The sequence below is a fragment of the Homo sapiens genome, chromosome 2 (genome assembly GCF_000001405.40).
Source record: "Homo sapiens chromosome 2, GRCh38.p14 Primary Assembly".
In the NCBI taxonomy this organism is placed as follows: domain Eukaryota; kingdom Metazoa; phylum Chordata; class Mammalia; order Primates; family Hominidae; genus Homo; species Homo sapiens.
The window spans coordinates 148933719-148952648 of NC_000002.12; the positions used below are offsets into that span (position 1 = coordinate 148933719).

At 41.6% G+C, this 18930-nt stretch overlaps 1 protein-coding gene across 5 annotated transcripts in view; it reads left to right on the forward strand.

Moving 5' to 3' along the window:
* Positions 1–18930, forward strand: part of KIF5C (kinesin family member 5C) — a 151533-nt gene that overhangs the window by 58492 nt on the left and 74111 nt on the right. For 3 of the 5 annotated variants that reach the window (NR_111932.2, XM_011511157.3, XM_047444258.1), the window contains exons 1-3: positions 14157–14242; positions 16121–16225; positions 16596–16744. Coding sequence is in view for 4 of the 5 variants with exons in the window: in XM_011511157.3 (XP_011509459.1) it covers positions 14225–14242; positions 16121–16225; positions 16596–16744 (272 nt within the window). In the remaining variant the exon portion in view is untranslated. Of the gene's footprint in view, positions 1–3565; positions 3671–7891; positions 7941–8216; positions 8273–8954; positions 9043–13180; positions 13306–14156; positions 14243–16120; positions 16226–16595; positions 16745–18930 lie in introns of those variants that run through there. The other 2 variants (NM_004522.3, XM_017004062.2) reach the window with 1 other exon arrangement.

The following is an 18930-nucleotide window of genomic DNA, read 5'->3' on the forward strand; positions in this document are numbered from 1 at the left end:
CACACCACGCCTCCCACATACATCATACACACGCACACACATACATTCACGACACACCATATACCACATACCCCCCATATACATGATACACACACAGACATATGCACACCAAACACATGTACACACACAGACACACCACACACCATAATATACACACAGACACACCACACACAATATATCACACTCCTTAAATACATCATACACACACACAAACATGTACACACCACACATATACCCACACAGACACACTACACACCACATACCACACACCCTTCCACATACATCAGACACATACAGACATATACATACCACAGACATACCTCACACCACACATGGCCCTCACATACATCATAAACACACACAGACATATATATCACACACATACAGACACACCACATAACATACTGCACACGCATACATCATACACACACAGACATATACACATCACACACATATGCACACACAGACACACCACACATCACATACCACCCCTCCACATACATCATACATATACACACAGATATATACACACCACATACAAACACACCACACACCACACACTATATACCACACATGACCCCTACATAACATCATAAACATACAGAGATGTACACATCACACACATCCATATAGACACGCATACCACACACTATATACCACACCCCCACATACATCATACACACACAGACATACCATATACCAGATACCACACATTGTATGGCATACCCCCTACATACACACACACAGACACACCACACACACAGAGACACCCCCCACATATACATGCACACATACAGGCAGAACCCACATATATCACACACACAACACACACGCATACACACACACACACACACACTCTGCATACATCATACAGACACAGACACCACATATCACACATATACAATACACACACGCCACAGAATGCCACACAGCCACACACATCACAAGCACCCCCACACTCGCCACACTTCCTACATTCACGCTATAGCACATACCTGCACACATTCCCTACGTCCATCTCACACACATATAACCCCCACATCACACATATATGTAATACTCCACATACATCACACGCCCCCACACACGCAGACGTAGCCCTCACACCCCACACGTATATCACACACAGACATATACTACACACATCACACATCCATATGCTCCCCTAACACTACACACACACACACACGTGCACACTCCACATGCCCCTACATCCTCCCCTGCGTACACACACCTGCAGATTGTTTCGGCAGGCCCAGTTTGCTGCACATAAAGCCCTTACCACTCTTGGGCATCTGAGCTGGATCAAGCAGCCCAGCTCCTAGGCCTGTGGTAGATGTGGGTATGCTTCTGTTCCTGTGGGGATGGGAGGCATTATTATGAGAACACTCACTTTTCTCACATTGATTTTAGGGTGAGGACTTCAGAGAGACACAAAGTAGAGAGTGTCCTAGATTCATCTCTCGTTCTGCCTTGGTTCTTGCCCTGACAAAGGCAAACAAAGAGATGTCAGCACTTGTATAAGCCAGGAATCAATGGGGAGATAAATCCATTGAAAGGGAAAGCATCTAGGAAAATAGATTTGAGTCAATTATAAATGATTTTTGGATTATCAATCGTTCTTCTCTGGCTGTGGGCTACTGAGGAGAAGCTAAAGGATTATCATGAATTATTAAAAAGCTCTGGAGGGCTTTGGTAGGGGAGGTCTTTTGATTGGCTGAGTGGAGTCATGACATTTGGCCAGATGGAAATGATGTTCTCACCATAGGTATTGTTTCTGCCAATGATCTCCATGGTTCAGAGCATGTGGAGGTCCATTGTCTAATTTGTTACACATTTATGATGGAATGTACAGTTTAAAAGTTATCAAGATTTGAGATTGTCAGTCATTTGGCACTGTTTTCTTTCCTAAGATATATATTAATTGTCAGGGATAGAAATGTGTTTCAGTCTCTTCAGGTGAAATAAACTGCAATAATTTCTTCGTGAAAACCTGCTGTGAGCTGAGTGATATAATACTAACATTTATTTTAGCCCTTCTCATGTCACTAAGCACTTTATATATCCTATTTAACTTGAATTCTACAATAATTCTATGTAATAAATACTAAATCTTGTAAGCAATGGAGAGAAATATACATGCACTGGCCATCCCTATCTTTAGGAAGTATGCAGTCAAACTAAAAAACAAGAGCAATACATCAAACTATTTAGATTCTTAATAGATAAGGGCATTCCAGAGGAGTATCCATTTTTCCGGATGAGAGAGCTTTGCTGGAGGCCAGACTGCCGGACGTGGTGGCTCATGCCTGTAATCCCAGCACTCTGGGAAGCCAAGGTGGGTGGATCACTTTGAGCTCAGGAGTTGGAGACCAGCCTTGGCAACACTGCGAAACCTCATCTCTACAAAAAATACAAAAAATTAGCCAGCTGCGGTGGTGCACACCTGTAGTTCCAGCTACTAGGGAAGCTGAGGATCACTTGAGCCTGGGAAGTGGAGGTTGCAGTCAGCTAAGACTGCACCACTGCACTGCAGCCTGGGCAACAGAGTGAGACCTTGTCTCAAAAAACAAAAACAAACAAACAAAAAATCTGGAAAATCTCTGGATGTGTTGTTGGCACTGATCACTTTAAACCTGCAGACTGTGTGTTTGTTCACTGATGGATTGTTGAACACATATGAGAACTTAAGTGCTTATTTGACGGTGGGCTTAGGCAAAGGCTCTCTGGAGCTTGTGTGTTGCTTTCAATACTTCTGGAAGTCTTCATTAGGAGTTGCTGTCAGATCCTAAGGCATCTTTTCTAAAATCTTCAGGGGTGGCAAATTCTGGACCTTAAAAATGGATTTGGTAATATCCAAATAGCAGAAGAATTTACCTATCCCTATCCCCACCCACTTAGGTGAAATGAGTAAAGTAGAAAAGCGGGGAAAGAAGAATATAAGACGATCTTAAACATGGATTTAGGTATTAGAAACAGCTAAAAATTATTTGGAACAATTTGGCCTGGGAACCACAGATTTTTAAAAGAAGTTGATGAAATGTATTTTCTTGATTGATCTGTTAAATGATACTGAAAGTGTTGCCAGAATAAGGTTCTTAGAAATTTTGGAAAATTTTGGAAATCAGTTCTAGAGGTGATTTCATTAAACAAGATTGCCTTACTTGGAACTCCAGGCTCAGGTCAGTTTGTAAATACTCAAAACCCAAACCCATATATTCTCGTTCCTTCTCCTGCTCCCTTTTCCTCCTCCTCCTCACCCCACACTAGCCACATAGACTCTGATTTTGTTTCCTTGAGTGGCAGCTGGAGGCAATAATGTGGGGCCTCAGAACTTGGCAGAACAAGTGCTCCCCTGCTGGATAAACAGGCCAACACAATGAGTTTTTCCACCAACTTCTGGTCTGTTGGCAAGTCAGGTAGATGCCCAAGGGAGCTGGCAGGCACACGTGGGTGCTTCCTGCTCCACCGGGTTCTGTCTGAGGAACCCAGAGATGGTTCTCCCTCTCTCTCATGTGTCTCCCAGCATGCTTTAACTGCCCGTGTTTGTATTTTCGCCCACTAGGGGAAGCTGCATGACCCCCAGCTCATGGGGATCATCCCACGAATTGCCCATGATATCTTTGACCATATCTACTCCATGGATGAGAACCTGGAGTTTCACATAAAGGTACGTATTACTGATTGGTCCCCAGAGAAGACACTGGGCCCCAGATAACGTTTCTTATACCTCCTCCTTTCAAGAAGATATAAAAGATGATCCTACTAATTTAAATGACATTCTTGTGGTAAGCAGAGCCCTCTTTATTAGTGACCTAGGCTAACAGGTGTCTGGAGGGTTTGCTTGAAATATCCACATAATGAAAGCAAAAGCCTTCTTTAGGAGGAAATCATCTTGATTGTTGCCCAAATTCTACCCTTTATCCTCTGGATTTCTGTGGGTATGACTGAAATGTGTTTGTGTTTGGGTTAGGGCAGCATTTTCCAAAGTGTGTTCTGTGGAACACAGTCCCTTGTGTTATTAATGGTGGGCTAGCAGGGAAAAGGGCTGTAAGGCCAAATGAGCTGGGAAAATGCTTTCTTGAACAGTGTTAAGTTTATCACAGGTTTCAATATGCTCTGCAAAGGGGACATGCATTAGATTACATTTCCCAGCTTATTTGAATGTAGACACATTTCTCCTCCTAAGAGTATCACAGACTTGTGTTTTGAGCAGAGTGTCACAGAGCAGAACTCTGAGAAATGTTGGGAAGAGGAATTCTCTTCCTTTTTATCTTCCCCCTTGTATTTTGTTTTTGTTTTAAACCAAAACTTGTTATATGACTTAAATTGGCATTAAAAGAGAGATTTCTACTCTCTTACTGTAGCTGTTAAATAATCAAATTTGATAGTAGGGTATATTCATTGGAACACCTCTTTTGCAAGTGGCTGAAAGGCACTTGTTTAAGCAAATAGAGGATATTGTTTATAAGATACAGAATCTGACAGTGGGCATTTTGTGGAGGATGAAGTGTGGAGGGCAGGAAATCTAAGCCCTGTTTTTCTTTTTAAACTTTTTAAACAATTGAGATATTGTTCACATACCGCAAAATTCATCCTTTTAAAGTGTATAGTTTGATGGTTTTTAATATATTCCCAAAAGTGTACAATGATGATCCTTATCCTAATTCTTGAGCATATCGTCACCTCCAAAAGAAACCCCAAACCTGTTACAGTCCCTGCTTTTCTGCCCCCTTGCTTGACTTCTTTCTCTTGTTCTGGAGCATCTTTCTCTCTTTTTGGTGGGAGAAGGGGTTGGCAACATGGCAGCTGCTGCTCCACCATTCCCTTATTTCCAACTCTAAATTCCCTTGGGCAGGGACTCATTGGCCCAGCCTACATAGGTGCCCCCCTTGCCCGATGAGCTGTGTCCAGGATGCACATGCTGTCTGGGGGCCCCCACTGTGGCTGGGGAGGGTGAAGGGGCAGTTCTAAGAAGCCTCGCTAAGCAGATCTGCTAAGAGATTTCCCTTCAGGCTGGGATCTTAGTGCACCAGGCCCATCTGTTCAGAGATGAGGAAACGGAAGTTTAAAGATGCAGGGTTAGGCTGGGCACAGTGGCTCAGACCTGTAATCCCAGCACTTTGGGAGGTTGAGGCGGGCAGATTGCCTGAGGTCAGGAGTTCACGACCAGCCTGGCCAACATGGTGAAACCCTGTCTCAACTAAAAAAAAAAAATACAAAAAAAGTAGCCAGGCATGGTGGTGTGTGCCTATAATCCCAGCTACTCAGGAGGCTGAGGCACGAGAATCACTTGAACCTGGGAGGCAGAGGTTGCAGTGAGCTGAGATCACTCCACCACACTCTAGCCTGGGCGACAGAGAGAGATTCTGTCTTAAAAAAAAAAAAAAAAAAAGACGCAGAGTTACAAGGCCCAACTTAAACACCAAGTTATTGATAAAACTAAGAATAGACCCTAGGTCTGACCAACCGCACATGCGATACCTTTTCAATTATATTAAACTTCTCCCCTTACTACTGTATACCTTTCGTAAATGACATAAAAAGAAGGCACCAACTGTTTGCCCAACTATAAATTACATCTAGCAAATCACTTTTCCTTAGGATTCCTTTTGTTGGCTAAAGCCTGCTTCTCCTTCTTGCCAAGGTTCTTTATATCTAAGGATACAGAAGCTTGTTGCTTTGATGGGATCAAGATTTAGAAGCTTAGTGCTTCTTTAGGGCTGTTTGCATTTAAATAGCTTAAACTACTGCAGGGTTCTTATGTGATAATCCTGGAATAAGATGTTAAACCAATTACTGCCCTCAAAATAGGGTCTTGTGTTAGAATCTTATTAAGATAAAAACAGCCCTAGCATGAAGTTAGGGGAGGAGAGGAACAACACTCTTAAGTCTCTAGGGCTGAATTTTACAGTCTGGATTTCTGTGTTGCATTTGTACTTATGCTTACTTGTTTTATAAATAATAAGTGGGCAAATTAGTTGCTGACTACTTTGTATTCTGAACCGGATAGTGAGAGGCTAAATCAAGAAAAAGAGGACTGACTAAGGCAATATCGAAAATCTGCTCCTTAAATGAGTCCCACAGAGGTTTTAAACTTTATTTCTGAACGTCCTATTTCTTAATGCCAAACAATGCCTATTTATTTTTCTTCCGCCTAGTCTCACAAAGTATTTTAAATGACAAAACAACAAAATCACCACCCTCGCACACACACCAAAAGCAGAAATTAATGAAATCAGAATCCTGTTTCTACTTACATTAAATGTGAATATGATTCTAATTGCCAGATTTGCCAGTATCTAGTTTGTGACTTTTTTTTAGATGTAATTAATTTTCTCTGTAATCTATGGAAATAAGGCCATATGTTTAAGATCTCAAAAATAATAGACAAGTCTTAATGAACATCAGACAATTCTGAAATAAATAGAATGCGCTGAACCAGGGTGGAGTTGGCTGCAGGAAGGACTGGGTTAGAGATGTCCAGGATTGGAGGTCAGACAGACCCATAAGGATGTGGGGAGTGTGGCAGCATGAAAGATTAGAGAAAGCTGTAGGCGTGAGTCTTTCAAATGTCACATAAGTGTGTCCATGAGAGATGGGCCTCAGGGACAGGGAAGTCTGACAGGTGTTCAAGTAGGCAGATGTTGCTAGGGATACAGGCAGCCAGGAGAGATGCCCAGCAGTGGATTCCAGGGCTCAAGCTAGGACCCCACATCTCAGAGTAGCTGGGATGGTTCCAGTCAGGTAGTTCCAGACCGAGGCACATTAAGGATAATGGATCAGGGCTGAGTCAGAGCTGGGACCAGTGCTGGGTTAGAGTCTTTGCTTCCCCTTGACTGGTCCAGAGCTGGGATGTAGGGATGAGGTTTTACCTGAGTAGTCACATCCCAGCTTTACAACTTTACAACTGTTTTCCTTTCTGCCCACTCCCTTGTTTAGATTTCAAAAGCACTTATGAACATAGGGCAGATAAGTTTATTGGGTAGGCAGACAGCAGATGTAAACAGAGTACAGAATCCTAGAGGGGGATTTTTGACATCGTAAAGCCCTATGGCTTCATGTGACAGATGGTACAATTGAGGCCTAGGGTCTTGGTTATGTGTGAATTGAGTCCCTAAGACCACATATTTAGTTAAAGCAGGTCTCAGACATCAGCCAGCATAAGAATCGCCTGGGCAACTGAGAACCAGATTCCTAGTTCCTTTTATCTGGGATTCGGATTCAGCAGGACTGTAGTAGGGTTCAGGGTTCTGCAGTTCAAACAGGTTCTTAGGTGATGCTGATGAAGGTGGTGCTGTGGCTGAGCCTTGAGACTAATGGGAAGGCCTCCTTTTCTTCTCACAGTCTAACCATCTTTTATCAAGTCCCATTTTGTTCAGATCTTTCCTGGATGCACCAGAGCTGGCCACCATTACCAGCTCTTGCTCAGTTACCTTTCTGAGCTCTTGTAGTTCTAAACACACTGCCCTTGCCCTCTCCTGGCTTCTTGCATGTGAACATTTGGGCTAAGTCTCCTTCATGATACTGTCAGTATCATGCAATAAGGTGAGGCCTACTGAGTGTTTTCTAAGCGTGCTTGGTGCTCATCTAACTTAAAGCCTAGAGTCCTCCTGTAAGTGTCTAGCACATGATGTTAAGAACACTTGAATGACAACCAAAGGGAGCTGTGATGTGTGTAGGTGGAGAGTGGTCCACACTTAGGGAAGCGTAGAGCAAGCGGGAAGTAGGGGAATCCCAGTAGAGCTGGCCAGATTTTAAGTCTTCACTTTGAACCCCTCTTCTTACTCTTCTTAGCCATGCATGATGAAAGCTTTCATAAGTACTAATAATGGCATTTTTGAAATACACTGCGGCATGTCTATTCCAAGCTCAATTTGTTTTTAACTAGGTTTCCTATTTTGAGATCTACTTGGACAAAATAAGGGACTTACTTGATGGTAAGTAACCTCAGTGCTTGTCCTTTATTTGTTCTGTAACGAAAGTCCGGGGAGGTTGAAATGGTTTATCACACTTCTGCTTAAGGAATTAATGAAAATTTATAGAGATACTCTGTTGCCTTCAGGGTATATGTTTATTCTCAGCCAAGGCTTAAACTTGCATATTGCAAAGAGATTAGATTTGACTGTCTTTGTAACAAACTTCCATTTTTCCTCCAATATAGAGTCTTTAACTTTTATTTTCTTCTTTGCCTGCTGTCATTCTCATCTTTTTAGTATCCAAGACCAACTTGGCTGTTCATGAAGATAAAAACAGAGTCCCGTATGTAAAGGTATGAGGAAGATTTGATTGGTGATGCAATTAATTTCTCTCCAGTCTCTGTCATAATAATTATTACATAAGATGTGCAGAATATTATCTGTAAAGAGCATATAGGCATTTATTCAGGCTCCTTATATTTAATATTCATCTGGTTTTAAAAATTGACATTTACTTTCTTCAATTGTATCTTTCCTTTATGACATTATTATTTAATATTGTTCACATTTAAAGAGATTTTGATATTGAGTGCAACTGTTTTTACTTTGCAGTAACGCCTATTATAGCATTATCTGTGGAACATCAAAGTAGCTAATATTGGTGGCCATGATCATAAATAAATAAAGATAGAAGGCAAAGCAAAACTTCATCCATTTCTTCTTCTCTCATTGATTTTCTTCTTTGATTTTCTGTCTTCTTAAAGTGTTGCTGTTCAGTATGAATATGTACTCAAAAACCTAGGAAAATTTGACAGTTCTTTTTTTGGTTTACGTCTATATTTCCTAGGGCTTGCTCAGACTTCTCTTTAATGTAGAATTCAAGCCCTGGGCAAGGAGGAAAAGTTGTTGGATCGATATTTCAGCCTTTCTATTTATCTGCACCTCTAGAAGATAAACAGGAAAATGTTTCAGCCTTTCAAAATATTGTTGCTTTTCAACTCTTTCAGTGGTGAACCTGAACTGATTCTCTTCCAGGGGTGCACTGAGCGGTTTGTGTCGAGCCCTGAGGAAGTCATGGATGTAATAGATGAAGGCAAAGCAAACCGACACGTGGCTGTGACAAGTAAGCATGGTGGGGGTGTTTCCTCCCCTGCAGCTTGGGAGACAGATATCTGCCCACCAACCGAGGGGGGTGGGGAATTAGGTACAAATGAAAGAATGCATGGGAAGGTGATTAAAGAGCAGTGCTCGGACACAGACGCCAGGGTATGTGTGCTATGAGTATGTCTAGGCAGTCATGGGAAAGGGTGCCTTCTGCTGTCCACAGGACTCTGAGGTCTTGGAGATATTGGGTGAGACTTACTGGACCCTGATAACAGCCTAAGCCTGAACATTAGGAAAAATAAACAACCAGCCAACCAAAGGGAGGGAAAGAGTAAGCTCATCAGTTTATTTATTTTGATCATGTTATTGTTCAGGTTAAAAAAAAGTTCCAAACCAACAAATTCTATAATATGTTGCAGTCACACACATGGAAATAAACCATGTTGGATTTCTGCCTTCTGTAAAAAAGAAAAAGAAAGGGAAGAAGGAAGTCAGAAAGCAGAGCCAGGAGCTTTAGGGAAAGCCTTCCGATATGTTACTAGCAGACACATTCAGATCGGCTCATTGGCTCTGCAGTTCCTTCCTCAGTATGTTCATTGCATCTCAGGGAAGCAGTGCATATGGGATTTGGGCAGCAGAGGATCCGTGAAAAAAGACAGTTGTCTATCTTATTAAGAGGGATGTGGACAAATGACAGTGAGTTCATATGAACAGAAGCTGAGAGAACTAAGGGTTTATAGCTTGCATGAGGGAAAAAAATCTGGAGGAGGGTGTGTGGACAATGTAATATATCTTACCGTGTTGAAGGTGCTGACACTAAGAAAGAGGGTCAGCTTGTTCTGTTCCATCTCAATACTTAGAATACCCATGATTGTTGGAGCTCTAGGGAGGCAGATTTCGACCCCTGTGAGGAGAACTCTCCAACCCTTATAGCTGCCCCAAGTGCTGCCTGCTACCTAGAGAGGTAGTGAGTTCACTGTTATGTTGTAAAAGAGATTCAGGCATTGGTTTCCTGACTGGTCTAGGCTCTTTAAGTCTCTTCTACCCAAGACTCTCTGATTCTGTGGTCCAGAACTGTAATTCTCAACATTTTCTCTATCTGAGCAATGTATCAGATGATATTCATGTATATAGCAACTTTCATAGGTGAGCCTATTCCTGGATGAAATGTTGGTCAAGCTCCACTTCTTTTTCTCTTGCTTAAAACATGCACACATACCTGAAAGAATGTAAGACAGATATTCTTATAGTAGTAGCATCTCTCATTTACGTTATTCACTCTGTTTCTGAAGCTGTTTTTAATCACAAATTATTTATGGCATACCTGATAATCCATTTTGATGCCTTGGTTTGGAACTGCTAATCTAAAAAAAAATTGCTATTATTCTTATCATTCTGGTAAGGTTTTTCTTTATTATTGCAATAAAATATACTTAATATGAAATTTGCCATCTTAACCATTTTAAAGTGTGCATTTATGTGATGTTAAGTACCTTCACAATGTGTGCAATGTCACCACCTTCCATCTCTAGAACTTTATCTTCTCCAACCAAAACTCTGTACCCAATAAACACCAATTCTTTATTCTCCTCTTGCTCAACCTACTTTATCTCTATGAATTTGACTGCTCTAGGTACCTCATGTAAGTGGAATCATAAAGTGTTTGTCCTTTTGTGACTTATTTCACTTAGCATAATGTCTTCAAGTTTCATCCATGTGGTAGCAAGTGTCCTTCCTTTTTAAGGCTGAACAATATTCCATTGTATGTATATACAACATTTAAAAAATTCGTTTAACCATTAATGGACGCTTGGGTGGCTTCCACATTTTGGCAGTTGTGAATAATGCTGTTATGAACATAGGTGTGCAAACATCTATTTGAGTCCTTGATTTCAATTCTTTTGAGTATATATGCAGAAGTGGAATTTTCGGATCTCATGGTAATTCTACTTTCAATTTCTTGAGGAACCGCTACTATTTGCTATTATTACGATTTTCTATAGCAGCTGTACCATTTTCTATTCCTAACAGCAGTACATCAGAGTTTCCATTTCTCTATATCCTTGCCACTTGTTATTGTTATTATTTTTATAATAGCCATCCAAATGGTGTGAAGTGCTGTTTCATTGTGGTTTTGATTTGCATTTCCCTAATGATTAGTGATGTTCAGCATCTTTTCATGTGCTTATAGGCCATTTGTATATCTTCTTTGAGGAATGTCTATTCAAGGTCTGTATTTATTTTTTAATCAGGTTAATTTGTTGTTGTTGACTTGGAGTTCTCTATGTATTCTGGACATCAATCCCTTATTAGATATATGATTTATAAAATTTTCTTCTATTCCATGGATTGCTTTTTTACACTATTGATAGTGTCTTTTGATATAAAAGTTTTTAATTTTGATGAAGTGTCTATTTTTATTTTGTTGCTTGTGCTTTGGGTGTCATATCCAAGAAATTATTGCCAAGTCCAATGTCATGAAGCTTTTCTCCTGTGTTTTCTTCTAAGAGTTTTATAGTTTTAGTTTTTATATGTAGGTATTTGATCCTTTTGGAGTAAATTTTTGCATGTACTCTAAGGTAAGGGCCCAACATTAATATATTTTTTGCATGTAGCTATCCAGTTTTTCCAACACTATTTGTTGAAAAGACTGTTCTTTCCACATTAAATGGTCTTGACACTCTTGTTGAAAATTATTCAACCATATATGTGAGGATTTATTTCTGGGCCCTTTATTCTCTTCTGTTGATTTATATGTCTGTCTTTATGTCAATACCACACTGTTTTGATTCCTGTAGCTTTGTAGTAACTTTTATTTTTTATTTTTCCATAGGCTATTGGGGTACAGGTGGTATTTGGTTACATGAGTAAGTTCTTTAGTGCTAATTTGTGAGGTTTTGGTGCACCTATCACCCGAACTGTATGCACTGCACCCTATTTGTAGTCTCTTATCCCTCACCCTACTCCCACCCTTCCCCTCAAGTCCCCAAAGTCCATTATATTGTTGAAGTGTGAGACCTTCAACTCTGTTCTTATTTTTCAAGATTGTTTAGGCTATTTGGTATCCCTTGAGATTTCATATAAATTTTAGGATGGATTTTTCTGCTTCTATAAAATATGTCATTGAAATTTTGATAGAGATTGCCATGAATCTGTAGATTGCTTTGGGTAATACTGACAGCTTAATGATATTAAGTCTTTCAATCAATCCCTTTATTTGTGTCTTCTTTCATATCTTTCAGTCATGTTTTGTAGTTTCCAGTGTACAAGTCTTTCTCTTCTTTGGTTAAGTTTATTCCTAAGTAGTTTATTCTTTTTTTGCTATTATAAATAAGGTTGTTTTCTTAATTTTTTGGGTTGTTCATTGTTAGTATATAGAAATGCAACTGATTTTTTACATGTTGATTTTGTATCCTACAGCTTTGCTGAATTAATTATTAGTTCTAACAGTTTTTTAAAAATGAATCTTTAGGGCTTTTTACATATAATCTGGTAAGATGGTTTTGAGAAATGATTGCTGGTGAAGGCTGAATGGGATGGTTGCTGGGGTCTCTGTCTGCTTGGCAGACAAAGACGAGGATTTGCAAGGATTTTTATTTCCAGTACCCCATCTTAATGAAGCATATTTAATTTTTGAAACCTTCTTTGCTGTTAGCATAGGTTGTAGAAGTGTATGTCTTAATCCTTCCTTAGGAAAGTCTTAATCCTTGCTTAAGAAAGCTTATGATATTACTGATAAGGCAAGGCTTATGCACATGACTAAGATAGACTACATCATGTATTAATCATGATGAAGTCTGAGGAATTTAAAGTGAGGCAGGGGAGGAGGTAGTGAATTCTTCAAGGGGAAAGTCATGCTGGAGTAGGAATTTAGAGGATGGGGCTTCAGGTAGAGCTAGAAAATCTGATATCTTAAACTGTTGACTAAGATTTTTAGATTAACTTCTTTGCTCCTTGAAGACATTTAAAATCTTGTATTTCTAGAATGAGCATTGTTTTTCAGAAGAAACAGGGGTCTCAGATAATTTTTAGAATTGACTGGACTTACTTCAATGAAATGGATCTATTAGGCATGACTTGTTATGCTTTTTAAATGAGAGGATTGCTACCTAAACCTACATGTTCTTTGTAGAGCAGTAAACTATTTTCCTTTTCAGACATGAATGAACACAGCTCTAGAAGTCACAGTATCTTCCTGATAAATATTAAACAAGAGAATGTAGAGACTGAAAAAAAACTCAGTGGGAAACTTTATTTGGTTGATTTGGCTGGGAGCGAAAAGGTAATTTGTTCTTTATTTGTATTATCTATAATTTTCCCCTTTTATTTGCTTCATTGTGCAATGGTATAATTTTTATGCTTTTCTATTTTCCTGCTTTAAAGAGCTTTTAAAGTTTCTGAGGCTCTGCCAAGGTGTTATTACATTTAACCCTTTGTCCCTGCTTTCTTTTCTGGTCCTGAGGTCTCCTATTGGTGTCACAGGCAGGTGCTTTGCATGCCAACTCTGATTTATCCCTGATGGGCCCTTATGATGATATGAGGCAACAGTTGGTTTGACTTAGCCTGTGGCAGAGGCAGCTGCACACATGTGGGAGGGATATGAACTTCTGAGAAAAGAGAAAATCCCATGTTGTACCCGACTCTAATAGGCCAGGAACGAGCTTTGCCATTGGAATGTGGCAGTCCTGCCTCTGCAGGTTTGTTTTGCTGATAGAAGGTCTGGAACCTGGGGCGCTCCCTGCATTCCCTGGTTCTCCCAGCAGTAGGCATGGGCTGACGGTGTCCCATGTGGAAGGCCTTGGCTCTCTCATGAAGTGTGGCCTGTAATCAGCCTCAGCGGCAAGCCTTTACTGTTCTCTGGTTTTGTCCGGATTCTCTTTTGTCGTCTACACCCTGACCCATGCCCTCCCAGGCCCTGGCTGGGGCTGTACTCCAGAGCAATAGGCTTCCCAGAATCTCCAGTCTCACTTCCATAGCACCAGTGGAGGCTTCTGCTGCCACACCCTGTCTGGAGGCACTGACCTCCCTCGAGCAACATCATAGAGCAAGGCCATGTGCACAATGCCCTCTGGCCTCCATCATCACTGACATCATGCTGATTGTCCCCATGAAGGCCAGCCTTGAAGCTTGGTCAGTCTCCCTAACTGTATGATTGATCCCCACTTATTGCACTACATCACTGAGTTCCCGTATGCCAAGTTATGGCCACTTACATCCACGTGAGTAATGGTTACTTGGATTGTCCTCTAGTATGCATTTGTAAAACCTGAGCAGAAAGTCATCCGGGTATTTCTAGTTGGGAATCTAAAATTTTACTAGTATGGGGCCGGGTGCAGTGGCTCACGCCTGTAATCCCAGCACTTTGGGAGGCCGAGGTGGGCGGATCATGAGGTCAGGAGATCGAGACCATCCTGGCTAACATGGTGAAACCGTGTCTCAACTAAAAATTAAAAAAAAAAAAAAAAATTAGCCAGGCATGGTGGCGGGCACCTGTAGTCCCAGCTACTCGGGAGGCTGAGGCAGGAGAATGGCGTGAACCCGGGAGGCGGAGCTTGCAGTGAGCCGAGATCGTGCCACTGCACTCCAGCCTGGGTGACAGAGGGAGACTCTGTCTCAAAAAAAAAAAAAAAAATTTACTAGTACGGGCTTGTAACTTTAGTTAAACAGACGTACAACAGATGGAAATAATGGAGGATTATTGTTATTTAGAGCCTAAATACACCTGAAAACTGCTTAATACTGACAGACTGGAGTGGAGGCCTGCCTCTGCACAGTGTCAGTGGTTATTGCTAATGATATTTATGAGGTGTTTGAAATCATGTCCTTCACGTAGTTTCTTTTGCTCACACACACCTGTTTTCCTTTGCCCTAGATGTGTCCATATGACTGTGTCAGTGTGATCTTGTAGAAAAGAACTCTGGGCTTTAGTTCCCGTCTCCCCTGAATGGTGTTCTTCCCTTAGGCTGGCAGTTTGACATTTCTGGGGCTCAGTTTCCTGTCTGTCGAAGGAGGGTGATAGATGGTACCTGCCTTGTATATTTCATGGAGTTAAGATGCTCAAATAAGAAAGCATCTTAAAATAACAGTGCTTAAAATAACATAGACTGCTACTATTTGTGACCCATCAGCTACATGATTTCTCTATGTGTAAGCAGGGGTACCACACAAACAAGTCCAAGGGAGTTGAGAATCTATTCTATTTGGAAAGAAACCTCCCCCTGGACATGAATTCATTTCTGTCATCAGGAGTTTCTCCTTTATATGTGATTCGAATTTGCGTAGTTGAACATTGCTTCCCCACTTCCTTTCTTGAGAGAGCAGCTGCTCCCCCTGCATCGTTTGTCCAGTCAGCAGAGACATGAATCATGTTGAGTTCCCTTTTTTCTAGCATCTGTAAACTGCCCTCTACCTAGAATAAATGCTGTCAAGATGAAATTACCAGCAATAACGCAGCAAAGGAGAAACTATGCATGGTCCCTCTGGCTGCAGAGGAAAAAAGACAAATTTACGATGCAGTATACATTTGACTTTTCATTTCTCTCCCAAGTTTTTTGCTTTTTGGATATTTTTCATTTTTTCCTTGCTATGAGAATAAGTAGGGAAGGAACGGACTCTAGATAACCAACCCTACCGCCTCTAGTCATCTGCCTGAACTTGGAGCCCGTAACTTACATTTTTCCAATATGCCCATTCATTGTGGCTCAGGACAATATTTTCTCTTCATGCTTCCCTCTGGGCTCCCTTCGGCATGGGGACTGCGGCTCAGTCTCCCAGGGCCCGAGCTACCCATGGTGACAGCACTTCTGGAGCCTGGTTTCCCTGGATGGATGGCCCCTGGGGAAGCATCTGCAGCTCCACCATTTGAGGTATTTCAGCTATTCCACTAAAACCCAATTGAGAGGAAAATGATGGCAGGAGAGACCAAATCCCCAGCCTCATACACGAAGGATGGTTTTTTATCACTGTGGGTCTTCTCTACTTTTATTTTTCCTTGCTTTCCAGGAGGCTGTCCCCCTTTGCCCTCGTGTGAATTTGAAATTTCTACTTTGTGCTTCTGCCGTCCTGTGCTGCTCACTGCTTTCTTTTCTCTCTGGTAGGTCAGCAAAACTGGTGCCGAGGGAGCTGTTCTTGACGAAGCTAAAAATATCAATAAGTCTTTGTCTGCTCTTGGAAATGTGATCTCTGCTTTGGCAGAAGGGACAGTAAGTGATCCTGCCCCCATCTATTAAGTAATATTATGAGAAACCACCTTTTGGGGCCTCATAGTCCCTTTGCCACACACCCCAAAGGCTGGTTTGTTTTTCTGTTTGGAAGAGGACAGAGGGAATCCTGGCTATGGATGCCTGCTTGCTGGGAGTTCCCATCTACTAAAAAGTATGAATGGTGATGCTAATTTCCTATGACATAGGTCAAAGAATGGGCATTCTAAACTTTGGCAAGATCCAAAGACCCAGCCACAAATTCTTGTTTTACTCGGTTTCTAAGCTCAGTGTCTTCATCCCTGACTTGCTTGCCTCTGTGTTTTTCTCAGAATGGGCTGTCAAAACCAATACTTTTTCTTTTCCTAAATAGAAAACACATGTGCCATACCGGGACAGCAAGATGACTCGGATTCTTCAGGACTCTTTGGGTGGGAACTGCAGAACCACCATCGTCATTTGCTGTTCTCCTTCTGTCTTCAATGAGGCTGAGACCAAGTCCACACTGATGTTCGGACAGAGGTACGTGTGGTCTCTCAGGACCCATCCTCTGTGCTAGGTCTTGGGTCTTAAGAGTGAATGGCAAGGCTGGGTGCAATGGCTCACACCTGTAATCCCAGCACTTTGGGAGGCCAAGGCGGGTGGATTGCCTGAGGTCAGGAGTTTGAGACCAGCCTGGCCCACATGGTGAAACCCTGTCTCTACTAAAAATACAAAAATTAGCCGGCCGTGGTGGCATGCGCCTGTGGTCCCAGCTACTTGGGAGGCTGAGTCAGGAGAATTGCTTGAACTCAGGAGGTGGAGGTTGCAGTGAGCCAAGATCATACCACTGCACTCCAGCCTGGGCGACAGAGCGAGACTGTCTCAAAAAAAAAAAAAAAGAATAGTGAGTGGCAAGGGGCTATTGTCAGAGAATCACAAAGTAAGGGACAAACAGCCTTTTACTAAATTACATCTAGCAGGTGATATGTAAACTTGAGGCATCACTTATTGAAGCCAAAGCAATAATTATATTTTAAAATAATGGGCAAGAACATGCCAGTCAAATGTATGGTGTTTAAAACAAAACGGAACAACCAAACTCATTTCAGATGTGAATTGGAAATGCATTGGGGTGTTACTTTTGTTCTTCATGGCACTGGAGTCTACCTTTTAGGTTCATATTATTTCAAGTGTGTAAATCTCAAGATTGATAACTGCCTTTAGCTCCGGTATTTGCGATCCATTGCACAGTTGCTGATAAAACACCCAGAAAATTAGGTGAATGCAGAAGAGAGGTATAAAAGGAAAAGAAGGGGAAGGAATCTTTACCAGCACTGGAGGTAGGAGGTCTGGACTGTATGCTGAGAAGAGATGCAGATGACAGCTTCCTACTTTTAAAAATTCCCACATGAGACTTCCTAGATCCCTGGGAGGTGTCCATAGGTGGGCAGCAGGTACGACTCCATAATCGTAAAGCAAGAGTTACATGTGTGGTTTGGTTCATATCTTTTTTTCTTGTCACTTTCTTTTTTACCTACCCCCTCCCACTGTCCAAGGCCTGACCTCCTTCAGGCATGTTTCCTCAGTTCCAGTGTTTAGGTTCTATCCTTCAGCCCTCGTGCCTCAGTGTTCATTCCCAGAGTGCTTGCGGTTCTGTGGATTGGGCGATCTGAACATCTTCAGTGCTCAGCGAGCTCTGATGTTGGATGAGGGCTCAGAGGGCTGAGGTTGGATGTGGATTCTGCTGCCTTCGGTTTGTTTAATTCTGAACAATCATGTGATCTTTAGACAAGTCACCAGTGCTCTGTGGGCTTTAACTAGCTCATTTGTACATGGATGCACAGAGCACTTCCCTGCCTTCTCCCTGGGAGTGTGTGTTGTGTGGTTATGCCTAAGGAATAGTTTAAGATGAGAGAAAGGACAGATGGGGGTGGGCATTCTGTCTGGGAAATTGTTATGGCTTGTTTAAACTGCATTAAGCCCCAGTCATTTCCTGAGCCCTCAACAGAACATAGAATTACACAGCCGTGGCACCTGTGGGATGTCTAAATAAATAATAATTATATTGAAATGTTGTAGACCTAATATATCTTTTAAACTGGATTTGGGTCCTTTACTTCCTCCCAAATCGCTTCCTTGATTAGTTAAATGCTTAGGCCAAGGGGGTTGCAGTAGGATAACACCTACTTTCCTCAAGGGTCTCAGAAACCCACAAACCAGCATCTGCTTATGGAAAACAAGATCGCATCCTGCCCAGTGTCTTAAACTTGAGCTTTAACAATTTCCTCTGAAGACATGTTTGAGCAAACCAGCTCTAAGTGCATTTATAAAGGAAACATCTCTTCAAAAAAAATCCTTACCAGCAAAGCAAAAATATTCTGGCTCTTCTCAAGCCAGAGTCACCGTGGGGCATTGGCTATCTTTGCAAGGCCCAGTCACCTTGGGGCATTGCTGTTATCAGGAGGTATTTGCAGCTGTCTACAGGAAGCATTTTGAATATCAGTTAGTGTCTAATATATGTCAGGTGTGTCAAAATTATAGCACTTCTGACAGCAATTATCTCACCTTTGTACAGGGTATGAAATCAAGGCTTAGGTGCAAAGCCATTGGATACCATACCTGAGACCACACAGCCAGTAAGTGACTAAACATGTAGGATGTCCTAGGATGCAGTGTCTGAGCACAGCCCTTTGGGTCAGTAAGCCCAGTGTTGAAGCTAATTCTGC